Source organism: Homo sapiens, chromosome 12, assembly GCF_000001405.40.
Source record: "Homo sapiens chromosome 12, GRCh38.p14 Primary Assembly".
Taxonomy (NCBI): Eukaryota; Metazoa; Chordata; class Mammalia; order Primates; family Hominidae; genus Homo; species Homo sapiens.
Genome location: NC_000012.12, coordinates 104,578,563 through 104,598,864, shown reverse-complemented (window position 1 = coordinate 104,598,864; position 20,302 = coordinate 104,578,563). Strand labels below are relative to the sequence as shown.

Here is a 20,302-nt window from a genome sequence, read left to right as displayed (position 1 = left end):
TACAGACCACTGAGTCAAGGCCCACCCCACCCACCAGGGTGGGAGGCTTGGGCCAGCACTTTATCTCTCCCCAAGAGGAAAGAAGGAGCCAGACGACTCAGGAGGGGCCCAGTGATCTGTGGAAGGATGAGAAGGAGAGTCAAGAAAAGATAAAGTTCCCCAAATCCTCCGTGTCATGTTCCAAAAACTAGAGTTTCTCAACGTGTGCCCTACTCACTTTCCCCATGATATTGCTTGTTAAAAAAGCAGATTTCTGGGCACATTCTTGGGCTTCATCCCAGAGTTGTTGAATCAGAAGGAGGGGGAGATGGAAGTTAAGGCCCAGGAATCTGCATTTTAATAAGACTTCCCCACCATGGGGAAGAGAGACACAAATTATACTCTTTATGCTTTCTGATTCTTGAGCATCCAATTACAGAATAAACAATTTCCACACAACCTGGCTCCATCTACCTCAGAAGACACTGTAGCATCTACAATAAGAGCTGTAGAACATCTCCTACTGCTGATGCTGTGCGAAGGTTCGGACCCTCCCTAGAAGCTGAGCTCCACTGTACCCTCTCAGGTTTAGACCACTGGGGGCTTTTGGTTTCCAGGGGCCACAAATGACTTCTGGGCTAGTCATATGTAAATGGTAACAATGAGGACCTACTCTGTTGCCTGGGATGCAAAGGAAGGACCAGCAATTATGCACATGAGTATATTCACCTCACATGTATCTTACAAGTGGCATTAGGGAAGTTTGAGTAACCAAGGCCCAGATGGTGGCAGCTAACTTTTAGAGGGCACCAATGCTTCGCCAAGCAGTTCACATATTTAATCCCCACAACAGTCCCATGGTGCGGGTACTACTACCATTCTCACTTTACTGATGAGAATACTGAGGCATGGCAGGGTTAGGTAACTTGCCCAGGTCTCATGACTAGAAAGAGGTGGAGACAGAATTCTGCCTTAGACAGCCCATGGTCTCAGCTGCCACACTGGGTCACCTCTTCACTGACAGGTAAGTCAAACATCTCCCTAGTCTCCTCCTGGCCTGAGACCTGGTTGGCTGGCCACTTCCAGGACAAGTCCAAAATACAACAGGATTCATCAAAATGCTGTGATGGCAAACTATTAATTAATGGTTTCATTACACTCATTCATTCGACAAGTTTTTATCAAGCACCTACGATGTGCAGGGCAACTCGCCAGGCACTGGGTTTGGGGATAGAGCCTCTCTCTAACCTATTCATTTGTTGCTGTGGTGCTTGGCACGTAGTAGGTACTCAAAAGGTTTATGAATGATAGAAGATTTAACACTTCCTTTAAGAGCATCAGAGAGGTTTGGTTCTTGCTATATAAGGAGAAAACTGCCAGTAGCATTAGGCTATGGTTATTTTTTTTTCCTTTGAAAAATGAAAGGTCTGATGATCAAAAGCCCCGCAAAAGAAATCCCTGAGGCCCTGAGGACATTTAACGGCAGGCTTCTGCTGTCCACCCCGCCCACTGGGAGTTTTATTTAGCCACAACACTTGTTTTCTCCTCTCTAAACTCAAATCAATGGGATTAAAGATTTTTTTTTAAAGAATCTAATTAGCTCAATTTACAGTATGATTTCTTGGACCCAGGAACAGTTCTATATCTCCCACGATACATAAATGAAGCTAAAATTAAACTCAAGCCGCTCGTGTTTGTTTCATTGTAATGAAGAGCACGTTGTTTTCAAGTGGACACTCCATTCCCAGTCTGCTAACTGAGAGCAGCCCACGGAGAGCTGGCTCAGGACAAAGGAATGAAGCCCACCTGGTTCTCTGGGCGACTCCCTGTGACCCCTCTCAGTGCTGCTGGAATGCAGGGGAGATGCTGGATTGTTAATTCAGGTCTGAAGACATAGAACTGAAATACTGTGGGACCCTGAGTAGGAACTTGCCTCTCACGCATGTCCTAAAACCAAAGACATTCAGAATTCCAAGGGATTCGAGTATAGGCCAATCCCCTCGATTTACAGAAGAAACTCGGAGACCTTACATGCTTGCCTGAACTGCCCAGTGTAGCTAGCAGCAGAACCAGGGACGGAAGTCATATCTCACAAAATAAACTACCACGTAGCGAGAATGTACCATGTATCTGATGCCTGACACAATGCTCAGCCTTTTTCTCACATTGTTTCATTGAATCCTCATAAAAAAACACTTTAAGTTAGATGTAATAATGATATCATCTAGTCCCACTTTGCACTTGAGAAAACTGAAGCCCAGAGAGGTTAAGTAACTTGTCCAAGATCACACAGTCAGCAAGGGCAAGTAGCAAATTGACAACCCACGTCTGTTTATTTCCAGCACTGGTGCTCTTCACCGTGCTGTCTCGAAAGGCAGTAAAAGACGCTTTTACCCTTACAACTCCTACCATTTTTGGACTGTCACTTCCCTCAACATTTCGAAATGAAGCACTGCTGTACTAAATCACCCAAGTCCAGATGGGTCTCTGCTCCTTCCGCTGGCAAAACAACTCTAATACTCGGTTGACTTCGGACACTTTCCAAATCTCCGGACTTGCTAACAGGCTGGGCATGATTCATCTGCTCCACACTCTGAGAGTGCAGAGCAGCAATGCAGTTGCAGAAACGTTTTTTCCAAATGCACAAATTCATGCTGGAACCCTAGCAGTGTGGCCCAGCCCATCTGTCAAGACAGAACAGTGTCTGATTCAACCTCATCAAGTTAGAGGAGTGAGCAATACCCAGCTCCTTCAGAAGGAGCTGCTCCTGCAAAGACAGGCAATTCTGTTTTGTACCTGGGGGACCCAAAGTCAGCCCTCAAAGGACATTAAATCTCCCAGCTCTTCCTCATCCTCTTCTGAGGTCACTGTGATGAAACTAGAGTGACCAACCAGTCTAGTTTGCCTGGTCCAAGGAGATCCCCAGGATTCAGGACTTTGAGTGCTAAAACCAAGTAAGTTCCAGGCAAACCAAGATGAGTTGCTCACCCAGCAACACCATTTGGAAGGAGAAGCTTCAACCAGAATTGGATTCAAGTCCTAGTTTTACCCATTAACTAGGCTTGGGACCTTGGGTCAACTTCCTAATCTCTGAAACTCAACTATGCAATGCAGTTAATAATGCCTGTATTATAAGGTGGTAGTGGGAATGAAATGGCACCTGGTCCATGGCACTCAACTAGCCTGGTCCATGGCACTCAAAAACTGTCCATGTGGAAAGCCACAGAGCTGGATCCCAGCCCTGGCTCTGCCACCAAACTAAGATCTTCACTTTGAACAAGGTCTCCCTGGGCCTCGTTTTCTCCTTCGTCAGGTGAAGAGGTTCAACCAGGTGATCGCTAAGTCCCTTCCAACTCTAAATTCCTAACTTCCAAACACAGGGCGGTGGGGCATCTCCCTGTAGAACCATGGGTTAAACAAGCCCTAGAATTGCTCAGGTTTGGGGAGTCAAGGTGGAAGGTGTGGTGGGTGGGGAGCAGTGAAACAGTAATTGGTGTAGGAGGAAAGAATCTGAGGCCAGGAGAGGCAGGGAATGGAAAAGCAACACCTAGCTGTGAGAACAATCTCTACCTGGTTACAATCCACCAGGGTTTTAAAACCCCTGGTGGTGAGGTTTTTATCATTTTCTAATAATAACACAAAAATAGTGACATCCCCTCCAAAAAAAACCTTATATAGAAGCAGAGCTGGTAGTCTGTAGCTCAGTGGGGCATGGGCCACAGGGGTAGCTTTTAGGACAAACTCCTTGTCTCGGTAACCCAGCTGCAACCTGAAGCTCTCCCAGGAGGGAATCAGAGTTAGGGGATCTCAGAGTGGGAAGAATCTGACCTCTAACAGAGGCACCTTGAAGCTCTCCTTAGCAATGACTAACATTATGTTGAGTTCAGCACTGCCAACACTCTCCTTTTATTTTTACTTTATTTTATTTTTTATGTTTTTGAGACAGTGTCTCGCTCTGTCATCCAGGCTGGAGGGCAGTGGCCCAATCTCAACCTCTACCTCCCAGGCTCAACCGATCCTCCCACCTCAGCCTCCCCAGTGCCTGGGACTACAGACATATGCCACCATGCCCAGATAATTTTTGCAATTTTTTTGTAGAAACAGTTTTGCCATGTTGCCCAGGCTGGTCTTGAACTCCTGCATTCAAGCAATCCTCCCACCTTGGTCTCCCAGAGTGCTGGGATTACAGGCGTGAGCCACCACGTCAAGCCCTACTCTCCTTTTAAATGCAAAAGAAGAAACTTAGAACCCAAGTGCATTGTTTAAGTTGATTTCTGGAAGGAATACCAGAACTGGAGGAAAGAGAAGAAAAAGCAAAATAAAAGCGGGGATGGGGGAGAAGAGGAGGGAGAGTACAGAAGCCCGAAGCCTTCTACATCACAGTTTGGCTTAGACATGGTTCAATCCTAAACCGTTCTCATAAATATGAGAGGTAAACAGAAGCCAATAAGTCCTCCCGAAAACTACATCTGAAGCTAATCCACTCCGAGATTTAAAAATACCCAGGAACCACTATCTCTGTGAGATTTCATTTTATTTCAAGGATCCTGTAGCTCTTTGAATCCAAACTCATGTTTGGAGTCTGAGGGTTTCTTAGCCCTCGTCTGGTCACCCTGCTCATTTGCAGAGGAAAATACTGGGCCCAGTGTGGGGACAGAATGGCCAGAGGTCCCAAAGCAGGGCTGGAGATCACACCTGGGCCTGGCCAAGCCCCTCACCTGCCAGGTTTGCCCCTCTCTACCTGTCCACTGCCTAAGTGCTCCGTGCATAGCAGGTACTCGGTATGTTTGTGTCAAATGAATAAAAACAACAGATCAAGTGATCTGAGGACTTAACCAAAGATATTCTACTAAAGGGTATCAGACCAAATGACTTACTAATAGCAAATGAACAAAGAAGAGGAGTTAGCATGTTCTCTCCTGAAAAATTCTTCTCAAAGTGCCAATGCTTCCTCAAAGTGGTTTAATTACCTTAGCCAAAGTAGTTAAATCAAAAAGAAAAATTAATATGATATGCTGTCGTGGTGCTGTGATGTGCCTTAAATGAACTCTCCAAGACCCAGTAAACATGAGCCTTCATTACTGTCTCTCTCTATTACTTACCACCAGCCAGGAGGTAGGTCGTATCACACCCATTTTACAGACAAGGAAGCTGAGGCTCAAAGAAGTTAAGGACTGACCCAGCGACATAGCTAGTGAATGTCAGAGTTGGGATTCAAACCCACAAACCAGCATGCTTTCCCCCACTCCTGGGAAATGGGACATGTCACAGCTTACAGATGTTTGGGACTGATAGAGACCAAGCAAATAGGCAGTCCCAAATGTTGACCCGATATCCTCCCACCAATCAGGCCTTCAGGAGCTTTACAAAACATTCAGCACGCTTGTATTCACAACTGACTTTTCAGGAGCCTCGAAACAGTGAGGTGAAAATAGGGTTCAGCCTAACCTGTCATTCATGCCATTATCAAACTTAAGTTTTCCAACTTCCCATTCCTTCCCTCACCCAGTCCCTCCCACAGGGACAATTCAGAGCCATTAAAACCATTCCCAAATCTCTCTCTCCTTACTGGAGACCCTATAAGCAAATTCACTGAAGAATACTGAGGGATTTGGGGTTGATTTGATTTGAGAATAATCTGAACCTATATCATAGCCATTCCCGTGTTGGCCTCTCCTACTCCAGCTCCTCAAAGCAAGAGCCCCTCCCGACGCCCAGCCTGTAGAAGGTGGTTGTAGAACTAAAGTGAATTAAACTTGGCATATGAAGGTCAAGGGAGTAAATCTAAGAATTACGTGAATGTGCTTGGTATAGCTTGGGAAAAGATGCAGCTTCATCCAAGAGCCGTGAGATTTACTGACATGGAAGCCTTCCAGTGGGGACTCTAATACTCAGCTTTGAAGAATATAGTGTATACATTAAAATATTTACCGGCCAGGAGAAGAACTGGGTCACCAAATGGAGTCCCCCAAACCAATGGCCCCAGCAGCCAACCCATTCCCTCTTTTAGAGAATTCTGGCCCATCTGCAGAAACATGCCCAGACAGCATGCCTACTTCCGAAAGTATAAGATCCCTGTCCAAGTACAAATCAGTTGTCAACCTGACAGGTTAGTGCACCATCAGGCACATCTAAGACAAAAAGGGCCCTTTAGAGACCACCTAGTCCAATGACTTTCACAGAAGGAAAGAGAATGAATCTACGTGGTTAGGGAAAGTATCCTCAAAACTGATTCTGACTGAGCAAGAGAAATGGCAGGACGCAAAGTGCTATAATCTGGATGTTTGTGTCCCCACTAAAATTCATGTTAAAATATTAACCCCCAAGATAATCATTTTAGAGGGTGGGGACTTTGGAAGGTGATTTGGTCATGGGGGTAGAGCCCTCTTAAATGGAATTAGTGCCCTTATAAAAGACGTCCCAAAAAAGACCACTTACCCCCTCCACCATGTGAGGACATAGCAAGAAGGGACTGTCTATGAACCAGAAAGCAGGGCCTCACCAGACACCAAATCTGCCAATGCTTTGGTCTTGGACTTCCCAGCCTCCAGAACTGTGAGGAATAAATTTCTGTTGTGTATAAGCCACCCAGTTTATGGTATTTTGTTGTAGCACCCTGAACAGATTAAGACACAAACCTCAAACATAATCCTCCTGGCCAGTGGGGTATGCTGCCCACCCACTGAGAGCATGAGAGACGGGAAGGGAGAAGAGAGAAAGGGAGAGTAAGGGAGAGAAGGGGAAGGGAGGAGAGGAGATGGGAGGGGAGAGGAGGGGAGAAGAGGGGAGGGGAGGGGAGGAGGTGCCAGGTATTAAAAGATTAAACCACCTCATCCCTAACCCCATTTTGCAGGTAAAGAAATGGACGTGCAGGATAGAAGGTGATCTGTCCAAGGACACACTGCTGGCTATAGGCCGAGTTGCAGCTAAAATGAAGATCTCCTGATTCCTGGCCTCATCCCTTTCTCTTTTTGCATGTGATTTACATACAAATATATATAGAAAACCGAGACAAGTTTTATTTTAAAAGTACTATCCTTACTATGTGTGACAAACTAACATTTTCTATTGTTCTTTTATGAACTACTAGTCACAACTCATTAAATCCATTTTACAACACACCCGTGGGTCATGGTGCATGCTTTGAAAACGTCTGACTCAGATATCTGGAAAGAGTCAAGTCAAGGCCAGAAGTCCCACAGGTGTGCTTTCCAGCCCTGCTGTGGGACCTCTGGCCTTGACTTGACTCTTCCTTTAAGTTCAATTTGAGGGTGCTTATGAATGGAATATGTTAAACATTGATAAAGAGAACTCATGGCTTCCACAGCTAAAATTTCCCTCCCACAATGTTCACCATCACAGTGGATGCCACCATCATGCCCCTAGCTGTGACCAAACAGTGAGGAATTTTCTTAAATTCCCTTTTCTGTCTGCTATGCCCCACCCATCAGCATGTCTCTGTCCTCACCGCCCTGGTACAAGCCATCATCGCCTTCCCCTTGGGCTATGACAAAAACCTCTTAACTGGTATCCCTGCTGCCACCCTGGCCTCCCTACTCTATTCTCTACCAGCGGCCAGAATAATCTTCTAGAAACGTAAATCAGATCATAACAGCCTTCCTGCTCCAAAGACCTGCCACCATCTTAGAACAAAATCCAAAGTCTTTCCACGGCCCAGAGGCCCCCCATGATATAGCCCCGCCTGCCTCTGCCCCTCCTCCACCATACTGGTCATCTTGCTCTTTCTCCAAAAAACCAAGCATGAGCCTCAGGGCCTTTGCACTCACTGCTCTGTCAGCCTGGAGTCCCTCTCCCAACACCAACAACTGTTCTCTTCTTTACTCTGCCCTCTGACCGCATCATCAGGTCCCCAGAGAGAGCTTCCCTGGACACACTGTCTCCCATGGCCTCACTTCCTCTCTCTCCTGTTCCTCCCATTCTTTGCTATATTCTTTTTTTTTTTTAAGACAGGGTCTCGTTCTCTCACCCAGGCTGGAGTAAAGTGGTGCGATATTGGCTCACTGCAACCCCCACCTCCCATGTTCGAGCAATTCTTGTGCCTCAGCCTCCCAAGTAGCTGGGATTACAGGCGTGTGCCACCATGTCCAGCTAATTTTTGGCATTTTTAAGTACACAGGGTTTCACCATGTTGGCCAGGCTGGTCTTGAACTCCTGGCTTCAAGTGATCTGCCCGCCTCAGTCTCCCAAAGTGCTGGGATTACAGGCATGAGCCACTGCGCCCCGCCTGCCATATGCTTCTTCAAGGCATTGATTCTCTCCTGTCTTTTTATCTTAAATGCTTTATTGGCTGTTGTCTGTTGCCACCACGAGACCCTAAGTTTCATGAGCAAAAGGACTTGGACTGTCTTGTCTATCACAATATCCTCGGTTCCTAAAAGGGGCCTAAATTCAGGGCTGAATGAATAAATGAATGAATGGAAGTGCCTTTCCCAAAAGACAGGAAACTAAACCGTTTTGAAATACAGTCACCCCAGTCCAAGGTCTTCTAAACTTTCCTGATAAGAGTCATCCGAGGTACTTATTTAAAAAACATATATTCCCAGCCCTTCTGAATCAGATTCTCCTACAAAGGGGCCTGGGAAGCTTCAAGCTTGATGAGCACCCCAGGGGATTTGTATCTTGGAAGAGTCTGGGGATGCTGGATCAGCTAGACATGAGGAACAGGTGCGCACATAGACAGCGCACGTGCAGGCCATCTGGAGAAGAGGAGGGGGAGAAACTGTGCCAGATGGGGCCAACGAGGCCAGGGGCCTGGGTGTAGGTACTTACAAGGGTCATGCGGCACCTAATAGCCAAGGGACGGGCCAGCTAGGGTGAGGCATCTTCATTTATTTATTTATTTATTTATTTAATTTTGAGACAGAGTCTCGCTTTGTTGCCCAGGCTGGAGTGCAGTGGCGCCATCTTGGCTCACTGCAGCCTCCTCCTCCCGGATTCAAGCAATTCTCCTGCCTCAGCCTCCCGAGTAGCTGGGATTACAGGCATGTGCCACCACGCCCAGCTAATTTTTGTATTTTCGTAGAGACGGGGTTTCACCATGTTGACCACGCTGGTCTTGAACTCCTGACCTCAGGTGATCCGCCTGCCTCAGCCTCCCAAAGTGCTGGGAACTTTAAGTCATCCCAGAAAAGGATTTGAGGCCAAACCGAAAAAGCATTCATTTGATTCTGTAGTCAAACCAGAACCCTTGAATAAGTTCTTCAAGGCAAGAAATAATACAACTGCAGTTTTGCTTTTTTGTTATTGTGATAAAATACACATAACATAAAATTTACCATTTTGACCACTTTCAGGTGTCCAGGTCAGTGGCATTAAGTACATTCACATTCTTGTGCAACTATCACCAACTATACATCACTTTGTACTTATTAAATAACAACTCCCCATTCCCGTCTCTCTTGTCCCTGGTAACCCCCATTCTATTTCCTGTCTCTATGAATTTGAATTTTTTTTTTTTTTTTTTTGAGACAAGATCTTGCTGTGTCACTCAGGCTGGAGTGCAGTGGTACAATCTTGGCTCACTGCAACCTCTGCCTTCCAGTCTCAAGCAATCCTCCCACCTCAACCTTCAGAGTAGCTGGGACTACAGACACAGGCCACCATCATTGACTAATTTTTGAATTTTTTTTATAGAGATGGGTTTCGCCATGTTGCCCAGGCTTGCCTTGAATTCCTGGACTCAAGCAATCCACCCACCTCGGCCTCCCAAAGTGCTGGAATTACAGATGTGAGCCACCAAACCCAGCTGAATTAGAATATTCTAAGTACTTCATACAAGTAGGATCATACAGTGTCTGTCCTTTTGTGTCTGGCTTTTTTCACTTAGCGTAATGTTTTCTAAGTCCATCCATGCTGTAGGATGTATGAGAATTTCGTTATTCTGACATATTATTATTCTGAATAATATCCCATCATACATACCACTATTCATTCATCCACTGATGGGCATTAGGGTTGCTTCCACCTTCTGGCCACCGTGACTCATGCTGCTATGAACACGGGTGTTCAGGTATCTATGCAACTCCTGGCTGCGGTTTTGCTTTTTAAGCTGTTTTGCTGGGACGTGGAGCAACACCCTGAGGCGGAGCCCAGAGGCTGCTGGTGAGCAGGTTGGCTGGTGGCCTCCAAGTTGGTGCTGTAAGGATGGCAGGTGGGCAATGGAGCATGGCTGTCATGTACAGAACTTTAGAACAGTGACCTTAGGTCAAACATCACCGGGATGGACTTCAGTCAGCTCTCACTTAACTAAGTCTTAAAGCTGTTTGTGAGCCCGAGGCAGGCAAGGAAGGAATCAAGACATAAGGAAGCCACCTGGGTGGGTCTGGTCTTTGGCGGCAAGACATTGGAATGAGCCAGTCTGTGACTCAAGTCTGGGTCATAGGCTGCAGGAACCCACTCAGAGCAGAGCTCAGTTCTGAAGAAAGCAGCTTCAGCCTTCTGAGGCTGTAACCCGAAAAGTGGCTTGAGAAGGTGACCCCAATATTGTTTGAGATGCCAAAATTGTTTTCTTAAAAACCTAGGATGATTGCAAATGAAGTGCAAAAAATGTCCAGAACTGGTAAGTACATAGACACAGAAAGTAGACCAGCAATTGCCTAAGGCCAGGGGTGGGGATGGCAAGTGACAATAAATAGACACAGAGTTTCTTTCTAGGGTGATGGAAATGTTCTAAAATTAGACTGCGGGGATGCTGTACGGCTCTATAAATATGCTAAAATTCATTGAATTCTACACTTAAAGTGGGTGAATTTTACATGTAAATAGTATTTCAATAAAACTGTTTTTAAAATAAGTATAGAGATGTTTAAGAATCAACCCATAATATTAATATTTTCAAGATTTTGGCCTCTTTGAATAGATCTACATTGCAATACAATATGAAAGACTTAATTGAACAATTTATTTGATTTGAAATTTTAAGCTGAAATCTAAGTTTATATATAATACTAGAGCATTTTAAAAAACCTAATCTCCTCCAGCCCGGGTGACAGAGTGAGACTCCATCTCAAAAAAAAAAAACAAAAAACAAAAAACAAACTTAATCTCTAACGAATTGAAGAGTCTGAAACAATAAATAAATAAATAAATAAATAAATAAATAAATAAATCTTAAGATTCACCATATTTCTAAGTTTGAGGCATTAGATTTCTATTATGTAAATACTTGAGCCGGGCAGGATGGTGAACACATGTAATCCCAGCACTTTGGAAGGCTAAGGCGGGTGGATTGCTTGAGCCCAGGTGTTCGAGACCTGCCTGGGCAACAGGACAAAACCCCATCTCTACAAAAAATACAAACACCACCAAGGTGTGGTGGTGCACGCCTGTAGTCCCAGCCACTGGGGAGGCTGAAGTGGGAGGACAGCTTGAGCCCAGGAGGTTGAGGCTGCAGTGAGCCATGATCCTGCCACTGCACTCTAGTCTGGGCAACCGCTTGAGACCCTATCTCAAAATAAATAAACAAATGAATAAATAAATGCTTGTTCATTAATTGGGCAAATGAAGTATTCAAAAATAACTGTAAATAGATGACATTTTAGATGCAATTTAAATTGTTATCAGAAGATTAAGTGTGTTAAAGGACCAAATATTAATTAAAGGCCACCCTAAATGTATCTGTTGAAGGCTTATGAATAGAAGAGTAAGATTCGAAATTTAAAGGTAGCTTCCTAGATTTGTGAGTTTAATTTTATTAGAAGCCTTTTCTGTATACCACTGTCATCACAGTGACATGAAAAAGACCTCACATTAACAGAGAAGATAACTGATAGGAATTGGCATCTTCAGGCTGGCCTAAGGGGCGGAGGGTGTGAGTGTCTGGGGTAAAGGAGAACCAGCCCCTACCCCAAACCTCAGCATAAATTGTCCCTGAAAACCCCCACAGTAGTAGAAGAACTTTATTGCTGAGAAACTTAAGACGCTGTGGAAAAAACGCAGTTCAAGGAATTGATATTGGCAGTTAACCTGGGGAAGTCCTCATAAATTACATTTTATGTTCACTTAAATAAAACAAGAGAGACAGCACTGCAACACAGATCATATTAATTACATTTTACACACTTCAAATGAGTAATTATAAGCCTTATACGTTTACTTTGCATTTATCCTTCCTTGCCTGCTGAAGAATGTTCCCCTCTCCCTGCAGTTTCCCTGGAATGCTTATACATTTATTTTGCAGTGAGGCAGAAAACATGCCGAAGTGCTTTCTTCCCTGCCTGGCGCTCCAAGTCTGATTTTACAACCTGGACACGCTGATGTCTGCCTCTGGGGTTCCCCCATGGCTTCAGAGACAGAGTAACGTAGCTGCTGGAGAAAGGAAATAGTCCAGGTAACCTTTATTTAAGCTACTCAAGCATGGCGGGGCATTAACTCCAAACCTGCCTCCTCCCCTTGAGTCCAGAAAGCTGTTTAGTTCTGCCCAGGATAATCTCACACTCACACAGTCTTCACACAGTCTGACTGTGCCCAGCAACCCCACCTCACTCAGGCAGGCATCTCGCCCAGGGCTCCAGTCCCTCCCGGCCACACAACCTTTTAAAAGCCCAAGGGATTTTCGCCCATTCTTTGTCCATCTCAAGAGCACCTGGGCAAACCCTGAGCCTACCCAGGCTTCTGCTTTCTTTCCCTTTTCTCCACTCTTGTCCTAGAAGGCAGGAACAGGTCCTGGCTATGACCATGGTACAGTGGACTGCACAGTGTCCCTCCAAAATTCATATCCACTAGGGACCTGCAACCATGGATTGCAGTGTACAATCCACTGTGACGTGCTATGACCGTGATATAGTGGATTGCACAGTGTCCCTTCCAAATACATATCCACTGGGAACCTCAGAAGGTGACCTCCGGAAATAGAGTCTTTGCAGATATAATGAGTTAAATTAAGTGAGGTCAGACTAGTGTCCTTATGAGAAGAGGAGGGGACCCACAGAGACACACACAGGGAAGAGGGCCATGGAAGACAGAGGCAGAGATTCAAGTGATGCAGCTACAGGCCAGGACATGCCTAGGATTGCTGGGAGCCACCAGAAGCCAGGAAGAGGCAAGGAGGGATTCTTCCCTAGGGCCTTCAGAGGGAACACGGCCCTGCTGACACCTTGATTTTGGACCTCTGGTCTCCCTTTAGAACCATGGGAGAACAAATTTCTGTGGTTTAAAGCCACCCAGTGTGTGGGAATTTGTCATGGCAGCCCTAGCAAACTGATACACATGGGTTCCCATCTTGTGTGTCCTTGACAATATACTCAATCTCTTGGCCTCAGTTATCTCACCTATAAAATGGGGAGAACAATTTGCCTACCTAGTAGAGTTGTTGTGGGGACTGAATAAGTTCATCCATGTCACGTGTTTCGAGCAGGGCCTGGCCCAAGGTAAGTGCTCAATAAGCCATAATTAGTTCCCATTTCTAATTGTCCACTCCCTTGTCTTTCTAATTATTTGAGAGTATCTCAAAACCCTCTTCTATTCCAACCCAAATCTCACTGTTTTAAAACATACACATTAATCAGTGGACACACAATTATTTCACAAATCAGAGAGGAGCTGTTGCACAGTTAACAGACAGAAGGCGTTGATGATGTATGCTGGAGGCCTAAGCGCTTTGGCATTGCTGAAGGTGAGTACGAGGCAAGTGCAGGAGGCTGAAGTGCGGCTGTTGAACAAGTACTGTGAGCATCTTTTCTCCAGAAGCAAAGATAGCTGGAAAGACGATCTCTCCCCCAAGGAAAGGCATGCCTGCAGTAACAGAGCTGGGGCTTCCCAGGCAGCATCCATGGACCAAAACCCCTATTTCATTTCCATATTTTTAAGAGTTAAAGAGGGGATTAGCTTTTTAATTGTTCATTCGCATTATTTTCTTCTGACATTTTTCTGGCACAAGATGCCAACAGAGAGAACACTGATTTTAAAAATCTCCCCACGTGCACTGCATTACTGGAGCCATGATGATGTTTACACCCTTCAAATCCAGCAATTTCCCTCTTGGGAAATTACACCGAGGGATTAATTCAACAGAAACTAAAAGATGGACGCGCAAAGATGTTTGCTATAGAATTTCCCTTCTAGTGGCCAAAAATTGGAAACACTCTAGGATATGAACTATCATTTATGAAATTATTCCTATAATCTTGGACCAATCAAAAAATGCTACTGTTATTAAAATAACATGAAGACATGAAAATGGAGTTTAAATTAACCACTTAAACCGCTGCTTTAAGTTAAAGCAACAGAATTCAAAATATTATGTGGGTCGGGACCTTGGTTGTGTAAACACACATACACATATAAAAGACAGCATATGAAAGTGAAAACAGGCAGGGCATGGTGGCTCACGCCTGTAATCCCAGCACTTTGGGAGGCTGAGGAAGGGGGATCAGCTGAGGTCAGGAGTTCAAGACCAGTCTGGCTAACGTGGTAAAACCCCATCTCTACTAAAAATACAAAAATTAGCCAGGCATGGTGGCATATACCCGTAGTCCCAGCTACTGGGGAGGCTGAGGCATAAGAAGCGCTTGAACCCGGGAGGCAGAGGTTGCAGTGAGCGTAGATTCTACCACTGCACTCCACCCTGGGTGACAGAGTAAGACGCTGTGAAAAAAAAAAAAAAAGAAGAAAGAGAAAGAAAACAACTTTGTTAAAATAGAGTACTTTTTACACTTTCTTTCACATTGTATAGTATTCTTCCCACTAAAAATGATGACTCAACATAATGCCAGATCCAAATCAACTCTAAGTGTTAGAGATGCTACTGAAAATCAGGCAAGTTCTAAACAAAGAGTTGGAATTTCCCCAACAAAAACCAAACAATTATCTATCTGCAGCCACTGATGTGAATATTTTTACTCAAGGGATCTTTGGACGGGGTGCGGTGGCTCACGCCTGTAATCCCAGCACTTTGGGAGGCCGAGGAGGGCGGATCACTTGAGGTCGGGAGTTTGGGACCAGCCCGGTTAACATGGTGAAACCCCATCTCTACTAAAAATACAAAAATTAGCTGGGTGTGGTGGCAGGTGCCTGTAATCCCAGCTACTCAGAAGGCTGAGGCAGGAGACTTGCTTGAACCCAGGAGGCAGAGGTTGCAGTGAGCTGAGATCTCGCCACTACACTCCAGCCTGGGCGACAGAGTGAGACTCCATCCTCAAAAAAAAGAGAGAGATCTTTGAAAACTGAGAGCACAAGGCATTTGTTTAATTTCTGCATATTTTAGGAATATAGGATGCTTAAGTATAACTTAAGTTGCTGCCATCAAGAAGTGCTGAAGGGGTAAGGGAGATAAAAGCAGGTGTCAGAATCGATCTGAAAATGAATAGGGGAGGCCCCAGACAGGGGCAGAGGGTGCACACGTGAGCTTTGGGGGAGGCTAGGCTGTGTGTCAAGTGTGGTTGTTGAAATATGGTCAGAGGGAAAAGGCCATTGGAGCTGCATCTGATGAAACACGCCCACGGTCCCCCAATCTCCCTCACTCCCTGCTTCCCTTCTTGTGAATCCAAGATGCAAAGCTGAGCCCCATTCCATAGACCCTCCAAAGATATGGAATGGGATCAGAATGATCCCAAGGAGGGGAAAAAGAATCAAAGCCACTGTAGTGGTTTCTCCCCAGGGAAATCCAGGGAAACACTCACAATTTTAAGGAGGGTTTCATCTTAAAGTAAAGATAAAAAAGTGTTATGACAAAATGGAGAGACAAGGTCCCATCTTTATCCAGAAAGTAAGAAAACCATGTACAAGATTTCTGTTGCCTTGATAAGCAGGAAGGCATGGCCCCAGTATACAACACATATGTATGTGGCCGCACTTAGATATTAAAATTCCCTCCAAGTTGGCCAGGCAGGTCTATTTGTGCAGGCAAATTAAAAAGCTGTAAGACAATAAGGTGTCTGCAAATGGTTACAGCTACAAGAGGATATGAAGCTATTTGCATGTCTGTCTCTAGGGGAAGCAGCCAGATGTGTTAGAAACAGTTCCAGTTCAGAGCTTGCGGCCACCTGTGAGCTGGGTGACTTGGGGAGAAGGAAAACAGGTACAAGCAGAAGACATTTGGAGTTCCGGCTCTATACAATGCTGAATGCCAGGCAGGCACTTCAGTGGAAGTCATTTTATATAACCCTCCCTTCCTCACTACCATCCCGAGATGTATTATTTCTATCATACAGATGAGGAAACAAGTGCAGAGAGGTTCTTGCCAACGGTACACAGTTAATAAATGACAGATCCTCTAGGATGATACAGCAGGGAAATGTTTATTATCTCTGAGTGTTCCCAACAGTGATTGGCCCCATGAGAAGGGCGTGCAGAGGGGACGTGAAATGCACAGAAAGAACTTAAACTCCAGTTGCATCCCTTAGTAAAGATAATAACATGAAAACAGGGGCCTGGGGTTTAAGTAACTCAGTAAAGGTGATGGGGCAGGGGCAACATATCTGTCTGACACATCTGGTCAAAATGCTGACATCAAAGTCTTCAAGCACAAACACACGCACACACACATGACTACCCCAACGCTGATTTCATTGCTCAGGAGCAGAGCACTGTAGCCAAGGGTAGGCTCTAAGGGTGTTAGAATTCCTGCCTCAAATCCTGGCCCCTCCACTGGCCAGCAGAGTGATCTTCTGCAAGCTTCTTAACCCCCTGCATCTCAGTTTGCTCACCAATAAGATGGAAATAATGAGAGAACCTGCCTGATAAAGTTATTAAGAGGAGGACATGAGCGGAAAGCACTGAGTGCATTGGCTGCCACAACTCTCAGGCGCACATTTCCATATTTCAATTTCTCGCAAATAAGGATGCATCCTACAACCATAGTCTTCTTAGACTGGATGAAATAAGGATAGAATGATGATGCTGACGATAATGACGTAGTGCATCCCTTACTTCCTTTCCACCTCCCTCCGTCCCATCCCCATCCCCATCTCAAAGCCCAAACTCCTGGATGGAGTGTTTGTTCTCAACTTCTCTTCCTTTTTCTTTTAGTTTGCTACAAGTTGAATGCTTTGTTTTCCAAGCCAAGACAAATCTCCTCAAATTCAAATGGCAAAGTGCCACAGCATCAAAATGCCCTGTGCCTTCTGAGGCTTGCTAAGATGCAGGGAGGCAGCTCCAGGGTAACAGGCCCTTTGAGACCACCTGTGCCCGAGCCACTCCTCACACAGCCAAGGTCACTGCCCTGGATGTCATGAACAGCTGGGGAAGTCTCTGTCAGGTTAGACAGAGGTAGTGGGTCTTCAGCAGTACCCAGAAAGACCCTCCCCACCCTCCTGCCCACCAAATAACTGCCTCAGCCCTCACTGAGGCCAGAAATCCCAGGCAGTGTTCCTTTAAATCAACGGTTTCCAGTCACTCGACAATGTTTGGCCACTACATCAAATCATAACCAGCTTTCTCAAAGTCTGAAAAACTACAAGAAGTTGTGGTTCAAATAAATAAATAGGGATAAATTTTCCTCAATTATCAAGCTTTCTCCCATAAAACTTTGTTAAACAGTTGACACAGCTGTGCTTGAATCATAAACACAGATATACATATATAAACATAGATAGTACTAATATCTCAACAAATATTAGTATGTCATGAAGACTTCCAGATATCTGCCACCTGGCCAAGCTTGAGGTTGTTCCCCCAGCAGAAGCTAATGCAAGTCAACACCCTGAAGCTAATGAAGGCCAACACCCTTGGGATCAGAGTCCAAAGTCCTCAAGGATAAGGATGCAAGAAGCATCCATTTATCAGAGGTTCTACTCAGAAAAGGCTGATGGGAGAAGTAGCTCCTGCATGTCCAAGGTCAGGAGTTCAGGGACAGAAATCAGGACAGAACAGGAGGGCCAGAAAAACACCAGAAAAGGCAGAAAAGGCACTCAGATTTTTGCCTTTCACTTTGTCCTGATCTCAATAAACATCAATATTCAAGGCTTCACTTGCTTTTCACGATGAGTGTATTGGAACTGAAAGTTCTGAGACAATTATAAGAAATATGAAAACCCAGGCTAGGTGCAGTGGCTCATGCTTTTAATCCCAGCACTTTGGGAAGCCAAGGCAGGAGGATTGCTTGAGGCCAGGAGTTCAAGACCAGCCTGGACTTGAAACCCCGTCTCTACAAAAAAAGAAAACAAGAAATATGAAAATTCCCCTTCCTTCCAACTGAAGTATGGAGCCTCAGAAGACTGAGCACCCATTTCTTGACAAAATCCTCCTGGCCCAGCTATATCCTAGAAGTAAATTACAACAAGTAGAGAGAAAAAATTGGGCTCCCAAACTTCCAGGAAGCTTTGCATGGGGCACAATCCTAGCTGTTATAGAGGTTGAAAGTTAAGTTACATATTTTTCTACCATTCTCTGATTGTGTCTGACATACTGAATATTCATTTATTTTGCCTTTAATTTATCCATAATCGACATGTCTACCATGCATGAGGGCTTAAAGCTCCACTGAAATAAATTACATCCCATGGTATTTAGAAACAGGCAGCCTAACATCTAATCTAATTGACCTAATTAACCCTTTTCTTAAATGCCCATGCTTTACTATATCAGCCAGAGCATACAGTGAACGCTTTTGGCTTTATTGTGGCTGAACAATATTAGAAACTTTAGTCAAATCCAGAACCCAATCTTTAGTTTCAATTTCCTTTCGTACTCCAGCTCAAGCCTGAAATCTTCCTTCTTGTAAACAAAAACCACAAAAGATATTCTATCCCCCATTCCCCAAATGTAGGGGGAAAGTCACAAATGATGTCTGGCTTCAATCCCCTAATGAACTAGCTGAAGGGCCTTGAAAGCAAAAAGACGACGCTTTTATTGAAAGTTCAGGCCTTTTTCTTCAAATGTCCATTAGAATAAAAGGGACTGGTAACTTAGGGATGATCTTATGTGATCATTGTCCACAGTCTTCAATTATAAGCAATGATTCTGTGTGCTCCTTGATGACCAAAGCTGGTGGAGAGTACGGTAATTAACCCAGATGATTCAGAAGCAGCAGAGGATCCAATGCATCACTTCTGGTCATCTTGATACTGCTAGACCTTAGACATTTAGCTTTTATCTCCAATTACATTTTGGCTTAAACAGTTATTCAAATTACCTTCCATCTGTGGGATACAAGCTGGTTGGGTGTAGTGGGTCTACACAATTAGAGCGGGCAACAGATTTAAAGCAGGCAATGTGTGGATGTGCCCTCCCCTGCCGGGCTGCTGAGGAATACACCCCGGGGAGAGGGGCGGCGCATCCACACATTGACAAATGAAAGTTACCCACGTTACCATGTATCATTCTCTTGAAATTACATTTGAGATAAAACAGTAAGATAGTAGCCCATTTCTGACATGGGAATGATAATAACGAATGCCTGTTTCATTGTCTGTTCCGACATGTGCTCCACACTCATCTTCAGTGTCCCTCATTTTAAAGATGAGAAATCCAAGGTCAGGGAGGTTAAGTGATGCCCCCAAGGTCACAAGATCAATCGCTGGCATCTCCACTCTATTGATGCAACAAAAATGGAGGCTGGGCAACATCAAGTGACTTGTCCAGGGACAAGAGCAAAGTGGTGGGGCAAAGACTTCAACCCAGGTAAATTGGACCCAAGTCTAGTCTTATTCCCTCTACACAACAACTGCCTCCCACATGAAGGCTAAAAAGAAAGAGCAGATATTCACTGAGCAACCACATGGTACTAGGAGCCCAGGAATGGAGGAGGGGAAACAGACCCAACCCTCGCCAAGCTTAAAGAGCAAGCAGAGCTTCTGCTCTTCTTCAAGCATCTCTCTCTCATTGCTTAAGGGTAACAAGGAAACAGGGGCATGTAACCAAGCCCTTTGATAAGTACCTGGGCACCTTCTCATGGCTTCTTCTGGTCAAAGACAGCATCAAGTTGCTTTTTGTTGCTACTTTGAGTAGGACCAGGCCCAAAATAGGCCCTCAACAAACATTTTGCATTACGTGAGTTAATTAATCCAGCTTTGAAGCTGAGACAACTGCATGTCACAAGAGCCTAACATTTTCCTAGCTTTTACCTGAGAACATGAGGGGTTTGGCTCTCACATGGCAGTCTATCTCCAATTAACACTGTTGGCTTTTCACAGCCTCCTCAAGAATTCCTATCTCTCTATCTCCAATTAACACTGTTGGCTTTTGCCTCCTCAAGAATTCCTGTCTCAGAGAGCTTGCTGAGCGCTTTCCATGGCTTACATGTGAATCACTTTTCACACTGCAAGGACAGTGACTAAATAGTATCAGACAGGACTTAGGGATTCTGGGACAGAATAAACCACGCCAGAAAGCCGATGACTCAATTCTCCACTTTTCAACTCGTGCT

At 44.9% G+C, this 20,302-nt stretch overlaps 1 protein-coding gene and 1 non-coding gene across 5 annotated transcripts in view, besides 3 other annotated features; both read right to left on the bottom strand.

Moving 5' to 3' along the window:
* CHST11 (carbohydrate sulfotransferase 11) overlaps positions 1 to 20,302 on the bottom strand; it is a 305,067-nt gene that overhangs the window by 163,150 nt on the left and 121,615 nt on the right. The window lies entirely within an intron of this gene.
* MIR3922 (microRNA 3922) lies at positions 7,149 to 7,232 on the bottom strand. Its single transcript, NR_037487.1, has one exon. It is a non-coding gene; the product is annotated as a microRNA 3922 (primary transcript).
* Positions 15,027 to 15,096: an enhancer, noted in NCBI's record as "active region_6927". NCBI's record gives its function as "activates an Ori minimal core promoter by ATAC-STARR-seq in GM12878 lymphoblastoid cells {active_cell/tissue: GM12878}" and the evidence as "EXISTENCE:reporter gene assay evidence [ECO:0000049][PMID:35858748]".
* Positions 15,923 to 15,972: an enhancer, noted in NCBI's record as "active region_6926". NCBI's record gives its function as "activates an Ori minimal core promoter by ATAC-STARR-seq in GM12878 lymphoblastoid cells {active_cell/tissue: GM12878}" and the evidence as "EXISTENCE:reporter gene assay evidence [ECO:0000049][PMID:35858748]".
* Positions 18,641 to 18,750: an enhancer, noted in NCBI's record as "active region_6925". NCBI's record gives its function as "activates an Ori minimal core promoter by ATAC-STARR-seq in GM12878 lymphoblastoid cells {active_cell/tissue: GM12878}" and the evidence as "EXISTENCE:reporter gene assay evidence [ECO:0000049][PMID:35858748]".